This window comes from Homo sapiens, chromosome X (genome assembly GCF_000001405.40).
Source record: "Homo sapiens chromosome X, GRCh38.p14 Primary Assembly".
Taxonomy (NCBI): Eukaryota; Metazoa; Chordata; class Mammalia; order Primates; family Hominidae; genus Homo; species Homo sapiens.
The window spans coordinates 114,647,869-114,660,557 of record NC_000023.11 but is presented as its reverse complement, the minus strand read 5'-3'; the positions used below and the strand labels follow the sequence as shown (position 1 = coordinate 114,660,557).

The 12,689-nt window shown below is 33.1% G+C and overlaps 1 protein-coding gene and 2 non-coding genes across 5 annotated transcripts in view; all 3 read right to left on the bottom strand.

Moving 5' to 3' along the window:
• HTR2C (5-hydroxytryptamine receptor 2C) overlaps positions 1-12,689 on the bottom strand; it is a 325,976-nt gene that overhangs the window by 249,504 nt on the left and 63,783 nt on the right. The window lies entirely within an intron of this gene.
• MIR1264 (microRNA 1264) lies at positions 7,835-7,903 on the bottom strand. The gene has a single exon (NR_031563.1). It is a non-coding gene; the product is annotated as a microRNA 1264 (primary transcript).
• MIR1912 (microRNA 1912) lies at positions 8,935-9,014 on the bottom strand. Its single transcript, NR_031733.1, has one exon. It is a non-coding gene; the product is annotated as a microRNA 1912 (primary transcript).

Below are 12,689 nucleotides of genomic sequence, written 5' to 3'. Positions count from 1 at the left end.
AACTCAATGGAAATAATACCATTTAGAGATAATCGTGTAAACGCAAATTTTCTATGGATGCAAATGGTTGTGTTGTGTTCTAATTAGCAATTTTGGAGAAGTAAAAATGAAAACAGATAATGGACTTGTAATAAAGTCAATAAACAGTCCATGGTGGAGTAGAATACATTTATTGCTGGATGCATAGGAAAGACTTTTTCAAGATTCTTGTTTCTCCTAATAATGAATTGACAGGGAAATAAAAATGTTTTATGTTTGGAAGACAGGAATGAGTAAGAGAATCTGTAAGTTAAAAATTCCAGAGTTACAAACTCAGCCTTGATTTGCTTTAAACAAATCATGAATAATAATTTGAATCTTAGAAGATAAAACTATATGTTCCTATTCTTCAAGCTGACATACTGGTTATTATGATCTCACTGTATATCTGTGGCGTTAAAGATACCGACATGTGGTTAAAAAGTCCATTAAATAGATACACCGATTTTACTACATGTGTAAATTCACTTCTTATCTATATAACATCCAAATTCATCATATCACTTGATAAAGCCTGTGTCATGGAAGGTGCAGACAGTATTTCTGCCTTTTTGTTTGTTTGCTTATTTACTTCTTATTTTAAAATAATTTTGGACTTAGAGAAAAATTGTAAAAATGGTGGAGAGTACCTGTACACTCTTCACTCAGTTCCCCAAGTATCTTATATAATCATAAACAAATGATCAAAATGAGGAAATTATCATTGGAAGATAACTATCAACTAAACTATAAACCTCACTTGAATTTCATCAGTTTTTTTTCTAGTCCAGTATTCATTCCAGGATCCTATATTATATTTCTAGTCAATATATTACAATATATTGACTATATTGTATTTAGTTGTTGTTTCTCCTGAATGTTGACTATATTGTATATAGCTGTCCTATATTGTAGTTAGTTGTTGTTTCTCCTTAATCTCTTCCAACGTTTGACAGTTTGGCAGCCTTACCTTGTATTTCATAACCTTGATTTTTTAATGAGTACTGGCCAATTATTTTGTATAATGTTTCAGTTTGGGTTTGTCTGATGATTAGACTGAAGTTATTCTTTTTTGCAGGGGCAAGAATACTACAGAAGTGATGCTGTGTTCTTCTCAATGCATTATATGATGGTGAGGAGATGGGATGAGCATAAAAACTGTCACTGTTATAACCTTGATTACTTGGTTAAAGTGAAGTCTGCTGATTATTCTTCTATGATGCTACATTAGCCTCTTTGTAATTGATATGGTTTGTCTGTATCCCTACCCAAATCTCATCTTGAATTGTAGTTCCCATAATCCCTGTGTTGTGGGAGGGATCCGGTGGGAGGTAACTGAATCATAGGGGTAGTTACCCCCATGTTGCTGTTCTCGTGATAGTGAGTGAGTTCTCACAAGATCTGATAGTTTTTTAAGGGGCTTTTCCCCTTTTCGCTCTGCACTTCTCTCTCCTGCCAGCACGTGAAGAAGGACATGTTTGCTTCCCTTTCCACCATGATTGTAAGTTTCCTGAGGCCTCCCCAGCCATGTGGAACTGAGTCAATTAAACCTCTCTCCTTTATAAATTACCCAGTCTTGGGTTTGTCTTTATTAGCAGCATGAGAACAAACTAATACAGTAACCAAATAGATAACTTGAGGGAGATATTTTGAAACTATGTTAATACCCTGTTTATCCTAAAACTTTTGCCCCCCTTATTTTAGCACATATTAGTGGACTTGGCCTGAAACAACAATGGTTACTGTGTGTTTGCCTGATGATGATTTTGTATTTCCCTAATTGTGTCCACATTTATAAACTGGAATTTTTCTGTATGGCAGAGTTATCCCTCCTCTCCCCCCTTTATCTGCTGATTCAATTATTTATATTTCTGTAGAGTTGTGGATATTTCCACTTCAAGATTTCATAGCTTATCATATTTACTATGGGAGAGTACAAGGTAGACATTTTCATACCTTAATGCTTCACCATTTATGCCATACCACAAGAGATAAAATAGAAACCCTCCAATATTCCTGATAATCTTCATCGATCCACCCACCATTCCATGAGCACATACTAAAATTCTACTTTGGCTATCTGGTGATAGAGACAGAACTCAGCAATTTCCTGTATATTTCCAAACTAAAAGATAAAAACAATTTTAGTTTGGATTTCATACTTCTATATATTCTCTTGACTTGTTCCTTTAGCATTTTATATTTCACAGGTTAATTAATTGTATCAGTCATTTAGGATTAGAAACTGTCATTGCTATCCTTGTTAGAAGGGAATATGATAATTCATAAATATTCAAGATGAAAGATTATCTTTTGCAATAATAAAAGTGATCAATTCTGGAATTTTATTTGTTGTACTTGTTTAAAAGTATTTATTAACAAGAGCAAATGTAGATAAAAATTAAAATAAGTTAAATTAAATGTAAAATCTAATGCAAGGATCATGGAGAAACCAAAACAAACAAACAAACAAAAAAAAATTGTTTTACTCTTCCTCTAAAAATAAAATTACTATTTACAGAAATGCTATTATATTGTAACAAAGAAATTTTAAGCCTGGGCATCTTGTTTTTTTATTCTAGATAGATTAGGTCTTCATGACATGACTGACTGCCTCCCAAACCATAAATTAATTGACCGAGATTAATAGTTTTACAGAAGACACAGAAAAACAACAACAACAAAATATTGGCTTGTTCTTCAGGAGTTATAGTTACTAATAATCTATTTCCATCATGGAAGTTGTGAACCTTAAAAAAATGAGAATAATACATATGTAACTAACCTGCACGTTGTGCACAAGTACCCTAAAACTTAAAGCATAATAAAAAATATATATAAAAAAATGAGAATAAAAAGATAATTACCTCTCTTGAAGAATTTGATTAGGTGGGCCATGAAGTATAGGAACAAATTCACAGCTGCCCTAGACAAACTGTATCTTAAGGGAGGTAGACTTACCACATTAAAACAGATTTCTTCTATTCATTGCAATCGGTTACTTCTTAATAACACTAAATGTTTTCCATATTACACGCAGGTGATAAATATTTACTTTTCAGGGTGTATTGTTGAATTTGCATGAATTATTTATAAAGAGGAAAATTTTCATACATATTATTATTGTGGGTTCCATGTATGCAACCAAATAGAAAAGTAGTCACCTTCTGAAGGCAATTCAAGCAATTAAAAATATTAAGTAGTTAAGATAAATACCCTAAAATATCAATGACCTTTAAAAACATAAAATGTCACATGTCTAAATATTTGCTGGGAGACAATTTTTTCTTGTTCCATTTCATCATTATTTTGGAAAGAAAGAGCAATCGGGTTATGGAAAATGTATGAAAATATTTATATTTTACACTAATATCATGAAAATCAAGAAATGTGTCAAGATAAAGCAACTAGCTAAATTATGTTGAAGTGGCATGCTTTTACATTTCATTGAGCTGCACTTCTTTATTTGCAAGATTGTTTTATAATCACAACTAGAAAAGTTGTTTTTGAAGATAAGACTGCTTCCCACTGTAAACATTATTTATTACTCTGTTATATAATATTTATTTCTAAGATAAATTATACATTTGCTTTGCCAAGTTAGACATGATGCAAGCATATTTAATATTTTTAGTTTTTTTTTCACATATGTCCTTTTCTAGGTCAATATGTCTTTTGGCTAAGATTGAAGTGAAATGAAATCTTCAGTGTTAACATTCATGTTATAGGATCTGATACAAATTGGCTACATTTAAAAGTGATTTCAGAAAAATTCATTCATCTTCCATGAGAAGGTTTCTGTGTAAAGTCTATGATAATCGATGGCAAATTCAGACATAAACTACTTTTATATTTGACAATTTTTGCACAAAATAAAACCTATTCCAGAAAAAAAAATTACCTGAGACTTGAGTTTACCTTAGTAAGCTCTTTCTAAGCAATACTGCATTTAAAAAGACTCTCTGTCTCTCTGGATTAAAAACTCTCTATTTCTGTTTCTCACTCCATTTCTCCTTCCTTTTTAGACTATAGAGAGTTATAGGTAAAGCAAAAGCAGAACCTGACTCCTTGAAAGCAGGACTTTTATTGCATTAAGAAACAAATTGATATATTCATTCATTTGTAACCAACTTTGTGTGAAGTATTGTACTGAGAGTTAAAAAATAAATTAAAAATTGGATGGATGGGTGATTAAATGAGCATTCTTTTTCTTCATGTTGAAGCAATACTCTAAGAAAAATATAAGTGCAGACAGCACAAAAAGAAGTTGGAAGATTACATTAATCTTTCCATCTCTAATTTCCCTAGTTATATAATTAGTAGTGAGACAATAAATCATCTAAGCCAACAAAGTGAACACAATAAAATGATAGGTGATTCTGTGATACAAGAAGTTCAGAAAAGGTAATAGAGGTCAGAAAGAAATCTGTGAGCCATCAATTAATTGACAATGGTCCCCAGTTTTACAGAAGGCACCAAAAGAAAAGAACAAACTATTGGCTTGTATATACAGTAGCAGAAATCAATCCAGTGGATGAAACAATAAGATAATTAATTTTCTTGTACAAACTGACCTAAATGAAGGTAAGTTGGCTGAAATTACCATGCAAGCAAAAATTAAATGCATATTTGAAATGATAATGGAAATATGAAGAAAGCCAGGATGGGAATAATCAAAATAAATGTGCCATGATTCAGCAAGTCATTCTTGTAAACTTAATTAACAGGTAAAATCAGAAGGGTAGAGTTTTACACAAAACTCAAGAAGGTATAATATGTTCCGAAGGAATCCAATCAAGCCAATGGAATTTAAGAGGTAGAAAAGAATTCTACAGTGTGTAGCCCCACCAGCCCCTAAAAGGCAGATATAGATATATCTCATCCAGAGTTGTAGGAAGACAAGTCATTTACTAACATTTTGGGCTGATACATGAGGTAGCTGTAAAATTATTTTCATAAAATATAGTAAAAAAATACACTTAAATGGCATGTGCCAAAAATACACAAGAACTTGAGGAACAACAAAAAGTAATTGACAACTTTAAAATGAACATATCTAGCAAAAGAATATTAACATAGTGCATTAGCCATACTCCAATATGGGCTGAAAACACATTGTAGGAGTATTATTAGGAATAGATAATAAGGTAATCACTACAACATATCAGCACATTTTGACTAATAGATTAGACAGGTGGTTTACCAGACCATTTAAAACAGAAATAGTGCCATGGTAACTTGGTCTGATCCCAGTTTCTCAGTTCTATGAACAACCTAAAGCACACAACTCAAATTAACTGTCATGTTTGTTACTTAACCTAAATACATCACCCTCTTAGAAAAATCTTCAGCATTGTCACCTAAATTCCATTCAGCCTTCTGATTCTTAGTCTCCAGGAAGTCTACTAGTAAGCATCTGATTCCTAATCATACCTTATTCTTTACTTGGCAGGTTTGTGAAAACTGCCTCTTCATTCTTGGTATGGCTTTTTTTTTTTTTCTTTTCTACCCCACCTCTAGTCCTGGTAATGTGTTTTGTAGTTTCATTTAGTACTAAACATTAAGTAGCCAGTATAACCAAATGATAAATTTTTACTGTATATCTCACTTAGATACTAAATGTTTAAATAATTTGCATTTCAACCTCCTTGGGAAGGACATGTATAGGCAGGAGAAATACAATACTGACATCACCTCCTCTAGGAAGCTTTCCCTGACTGACTCCTCTACCTTCTAGCTGGGTTCGGAGAACTTTCATGTGTTCACAATGTATCCTGAGCTCATTCTTGCTATAGCACTTCAACACAGTATATTAATTGTCTGCTCTATTGCCTACTTCTCCCAATAAAATGTTATCTCTTTGAAGGGAGGGATTGTGTCTTATTCATTGCTGTATCTGCAGCTCCTAGTACAGAACCAAGTATTAGGGTACAACTTTAGTTAATGAATAAAAGAACAATGTGGGGTAAAGTTTCAGTGCCAGTAAAAAAAAAAGAAAAACAGCCAACCAATAAAAAATTATTCTACAATTATGGCAATTGAAAGGACACTGGTGATGGTTACGTAAGCTTTAACTCTTCAAAATATATCATTAAATATGCATACCAAAGCTTTTGATTTGAATTTGTTTTTAGAAATTTCATGAATTACACACTTCTAACTGATGATAATAATCACCATTACTAGGTAGGTACCATGAGTTTTTAGCGAAAAAATTATATATATGATATATATGTTATATATATATGAGTATATATACATATATACACATATACACACATACATCTATTATTTTATTGTTTTTTAAGTTAAGGGGTTTTGGAATCTCATGAGGAATTAGTTACAGTAACTAATAAGCAAAGAGCAGAAAACAGTATAATTTTCATAAATCAATTTTTAAAAATTTTATTCACATCTTCATTTATCATAAGTTGGATCAATAGACTTTCTAATCCATTTTACTGTCTTCAGATAGACAAGATATTATTAGTCTCGTATTATATCTAAAGGCTCAGGAAGGTTAATTCACTGGCTCAAGATTACACACCTAATAAGTGCTGAAGGAGTATGAGACAGACAAGGTTCTGCAGCGTAGTAGCAGAAATATTGCAAAAGAGTGAATAAAATAAAAGCTGACCACATTTTATTTTAGTATGCACTATGTACATTCAGAAGTCAGATTAATCTTCCTATACTGATTTTCTTAGATTAGTATATTTAAATGGGCTGACTTTTCCAAAGCGGGTGGCTATTACTTTATTCAGCAAACATTTATATGGATTCCAATTCAACCCTATAGAAAGTGTTTGTAGCTAGATATAGAATGGTGAACAAAGCCTGCATAATCCTTGTACACTTAATAAAGAAGAAAGATGAACAAGGAGAAACAGGAGGGAGAGGAGGGAAAATAGGAGGAGAATGCACATAATAAGGTTCTGTCTGATAAATGGCAAAGTCAGTAAGAAGCAAGTTGCATGAAAAGGGGATGAGAAAACTAGCTTAGAGTCAAAGTGATCTGCATATCACTTACAAGACAGGCATAAATATTTTGGGTGGGACAATCAGTTTGCTTTTCTCCTAACACTCTCCCTAACCTGATGAAATTAACTTTTCCTGATACCAACTACTCCTCACAAAGATGTCCTAGGAGGAAATAGAAAGAAATATGCTAAGATCTTTGATCTTCTCAGGAAGAAAAAGGTTAAAAATAAATAAACTATTATTTGACATATTTAATAGGAATTTTTAAATTAGACATAACTGAAGTTATTTTCATTATTTAAATTAATTTTTAATAACTTAGGCTAGAAATTTAACCCAAAGAATAAAATGATGGGCAGAGTAATTACTGAAACATTTTGGATACGCTGCCTATAAATTATATAACGTAGTAAAGAAAAAAAAAGCTAAGTGACAAAGAGGCTTGCAGGAACCTAGACTATTTCATATTATATCAATGTAATGTGCAAATGAAGTTAAGAATGGATGATTATAACAAGATTTATTGATGATATAATTCTTGTTTTAGTTTATTGACTGTCTTATAATAATGATTTAATAATATTTATATATTCGCTCAAATTTCTACAATAAATACTTTTGTGCACTTGATTCTTACTAAATCCCAAGCTCAAGTCCTCTTTTCTCCCCAAAAGTTTCCCAGATGAGAAATAATCTGGCCTTCCTCTAACCTTTTCCAATTCTTTAATTCTTATCACAGACTTTCAGATATGGCGATCACTTGTGCATTCTCCTTATATTTCTTCTCTCCCATACTAGATCATAAGGTCTGTCTGGGTCGTAGGATTGTATCCTCCACATAACAGGTGCTCAAATAAGACTTGTTGGTTTATTTATTCTTTCAACAAATACTTATTGAGGACCTGCTATATGCCAGGCATGGAGAAACACAATGTGTTGAATATGTTATGATATTTTCTTTAAAACTATTAGACCATAATTTTCAGTTTGATAATATTTCAGAAAATGCCGCAATATTTCTAATCAGCATGTATTAAAATGTTTCTTTCTATATAAATCCATTTCCCACCTCTATTCCATTTATATTCTCACTTAAGTGAACTTCTGTTATTTTTCTTCCACTTATAACATTTCTTATTCATGTTTTGGACTAGGCCTCTTAACAAGTACTTCTAAATATTTGGCTATTAGGTGACTAAGTTTAGTTTTGGTTCCTGATACAAGCAAGGAGACGCAAAAAATAAAAATAAATTTTCTAATTATAAGGAATATAGTCAGGACTGCATCAAGTACATTTTATACTTGGAATTATATGCAGAGATCACGCAGCTTTCCAACCAAACAAAATCATTCTAACAGTCTAGGAAATTTTTTTTCCTATTTCAAATCAAAGACATATGATCTACTTAGAATTGTTGAAGTAACAGATTCTCATTATAAAAGAAAACACCTGGAAATTATGTGAAATTTTAAATAAATGGGTTAAAGAAACATCCAGTTAGCTGATCACAAGATGATATGTTCACTGATATCATCATGAGGTAAAATTATACTATGGAGATTTCAATTATCATCTGTAAATAGCATCTGATGTGTCATCAAAAGAAATTTCAACATGATGAAAGATCATAATAATGTTCTTCCAAATGTATTTTTATAGTTCTATTAAAAGAATGCTTCTAACTGCTACTGAAAGCTAACTTTGACTATTCATGTGAAATTTCAGTAAATTTTTAATGTAAATAAAAGAGGAATAAAAAATGTATTATAATAGAAGCAACATGCAAATTTAAGTTGTGAGTTTAAAATTTCAGTTGTGGAATAGAATTTGGAAGCATAGTTAGTAAACAGCTGAAAATGGAGAGTTAAAAAAATCTACATGAAGTACAAAATTACTCTTTAAGAATTCATGTTTTACCCTTCTGGCTGTCTTTCAATCTCTATTATGTTCACACTGCATGCTCTGGGTATTGAATAATACTATACACAGCCCATGCAATGAGCACATCCTAGAGCCAAGTCCAGTTGTGATAGAAGGCTCAAAGGGTGGTATCATTTGATCAAATTTTAAATGTTAAGTAAATTTGAAATGATTAATTTTGAAAGTCAAAAACTTAGCCAAAAGATTATAGGATTTTAAAGCTTGAAGAGACAATATCTAAGTAGTCTCTTACCCTCTAGCCATACCCTCTACCCTCTTCCAAACCATACCAGACAGATGAATATCTATTCAAAAGGAATTCCAAATTTATCTGGGAACAACTGGGATAACTTATCAGAATTTATAATCCCTAATATTAAACATCTTTGTTCATCACATCCAAATTAAATTATTTGCTTTGAAGACTAAACCAAAAGTAGTGTCATGGAAAAAATATTGGCCTTAGAACTGAGAAAACATAAATAATAACTTATAACTATCTGTCTTTGAACAAGTCAGTTAAATTCCCCTAGCCTCCGTTTCTATGCCTGTAAAACAGGGATAATCATAAATGTAGATATCATGTAAAATACTAACGGAGTTCATACATGCAAAAGTGTTCTGTAAACTGCAAGAAGTGAGCAAATATAATGGATTATTATTCTGGGGTAGTTAATACTGCAACCCATGTCACCATTTTCTCCTCTTCATAGGTTTTATTTTCTAATCTTTTCATCATCTTACTGTGTCTTTGAAATCTTTCCAAGAGCCTCTACCTCACTGTTCAATTCGACAGCCCTGACTAGATTTAAGATTCAATAGAGCAGCTGGATGGTAGCTATTTTGATTACTTATTATTCTTACTTCAATAGAAAGCAAACTGAACAAGACAGATGAGGAACTGTCTACAAGGGAGTTTACAATATGGGGCAGAAAGAGGGAGATAATAAAGAAGAGAACAAATAAAGAAGAAAATTGTATACAGTAATAATGCTGTGAAAGATAAAACAGATCAACACAAGAAATGGGAGTGAGTAGTTTGGATGGCATGATCAGGATGGAACTCTTCCAAGCAGTCACATATGACATGAGACTTGAAGAATGAGGATGATCTAGTCATTTGAAGAAATGGAAAACTAGTGTTCCAGAGAGAACACCAAGTACAAATGACTTTAAGGTGAGTGTGAACCACTGTGACAAAATGATTTCTAAAGACTGAGATTAGGGAGAAAACCCTAGGACCATATTATTAACATGTTGTATGCAATGATAAGGAGTTTAGATAGAAAGGCATTGAACAGTCTTAAGCATGGAATGATGTGTTAAAATCAACTAAACAACTAATATTCAGAATGATTTCTGAATCCTCTTAATACATTAAACTGGGGCCTCTTTTACCATCTATATGATCTGCAAATTGGACTTGGGAATTTTCCTTTCATCTGTTTAGTAAACATTAATTTTCATTCATATGGTACTTTGCAATAAAGTAATGACTTAGACATTAAATGTAGTCAAATTAGAGATTTATGCTATCCACTTTGTGTTCATTCTCCAGATCTGTCAAAATAGACAGAAACGTCAAGCTCATGCTATTTCTGTTTCATAGGAAGTCAGGCAAAATTCTGTATACGGATGAAACTATGTTTCCTACTCCTCACCTGTTGTTCAGTTAGAAATGACTGAATGGTGATGCTACACAAATCTTCAAAACCAGAGAAAAGGCCGGGCACGGTGGCTCACACCTGTAATTCCAGCACTTTCGGAGGCCAAGGCAGGCGGATCACTTGAGGTCAGGAGTTCGTTACCAGCCTGGCCAACATGGTGAAACCCCATCTCTACTAAAAATACAAAATTAGCCAGTCGTGGTGATGCGTGCCTGTAATCCCAGCTACTCAGGAGTCTGAGCCAGGAGAATTGCTTGAACCTGGGAGGCAGAGGTTGCAGAGAGCCGAGATCACGCCACTTCACTCCAGCCTGGGCGACAGAGCAAGACTCCATCAAAAAATTAAAAAACAAACAAACAACAACAACAAAAATAAATAAAAATAAAAATAACACAGAAAAGATGAAAGATTACCTTTGCTCTGTGACCACAAGAATTTCTTATGTTCCTATGGCTAAAAGCCTTGCTGGTGTCCCCCAATTCAGAAGACACAAAGCATTCTTCAGAGAAAACTGCATTAACAGTGTTTACAGTAGGATAAACACTGTGTTTCTTTGTACTGAAAGAAAGCCTGCTGTACCATATTGTATTGGGAATTATCAAAATAATTAATCATCAAGAAAAAAGCACAAAAATAAAAACTACTGTTTGTATTAACAGCCAAGAGGCAAATGTAACAAAATCTGCTCCCAACTATTAATATCTTCTGAATAACATTTAAATAGTATTGAGAAAAGCTGAATTTGACAAATAAAAATATAGAATCCTCCCAAGTGCTTGAAAAGTGTATTAGACACTATAGATTTAGTACTATAATTGTCATGATCATATGTGGAAAATACTTAAAACATGAAATAATTGGGGGCAAAAGGGAGAAAATAAAGCCTGAATCTAAATTTATGTACTGCTGTTCTCTTGGAGCCAAGATCTGTTGACGTTAAAGTATCCGTATGTAGCGTACAGTAGGCAATCAATAAATTATCACAAAAGTAAACTTTTGGTACATGTTAGTTTCCATACTCCAATACAGAAAAGGGGGATTTTGAAATATTTGTTAAGGGACAGACTTCTAAAATTTTCCTGAGCTAATATAGCACTCATGTCTCTGAACATTTGCCTAAAGCTAAAAATGACATATATTGAGATATACGGGAGTAAACTATTTAAAGTACTAGAGCCTAACACAGACTAAGCAATAATGATGATGACACCAACAATCTGTCAATTTGCATAACTTTCTTTTTTGAGACAAGGTCTCACTCTGTTGCCAGGTTGGAGCGCAGTGGCACAATCATGGCTCACTGCGGCCTCAACCTGTTGGGCTCAAGCAGTCCTCCTACCTCAGCTTCCTGAGTAGCTGGGATTAAAGGGACATGCCACCATGCCTGGCTAATTTTTGTATTGTTTGTGGAGATGGGGTTTCATTATGTTGCCTAGGCTGGTCTTAAACACCTGGGCTCAAGCAATCTTCCCTCCTCGGCCTCCCAAAGTGCTGGGATTACAGAGGTGAGTCACGGTGCCTGGACCTGTATAACTTTTAATGGAAAAAGGAAGTTTCTAGAAGACCGTAGTAGTACAATAATGATGGAGACCAGGACGTGTTATTCCAAAACATGGCACCTTGACATTTAAGAAAACAGCAGAAGCAGGAAGGTCATTCTCACTTTCCCCTCACCCTTCTCCTCTGAAGCAAGTCATAAGATCTTCATTTGAGAACTGCACTCCCTATACCCAAAAGAAAGGAACATTCTTACCTCTGAAAATACAGAGTCACAGAGGGGAATCTGAACAAATAGGCCTTGTTAAGTTCCCTCAAGTTTTATTACATTAGATCATACTTTTTTATCCAATCATACTTCTCCACTACTATCCACTTTTGCACCAAACCTAGCACTAAAAATAAAAAGGTTTACTTATTTATTTGGGTCTTCGTTTCTTTATGATGTTTCCCATGTTATTTTAAACTTATATTAAATAAATTTGTATGCTTTTCTCTTATTAATCTGTCTTTTCTTACAGGGAGTACAGCCATTAACACAGGATGGGTGATGATATTTCTGCTCCCCTATAATAGCAATAGCAAAATACAGACTGTACTGTTTC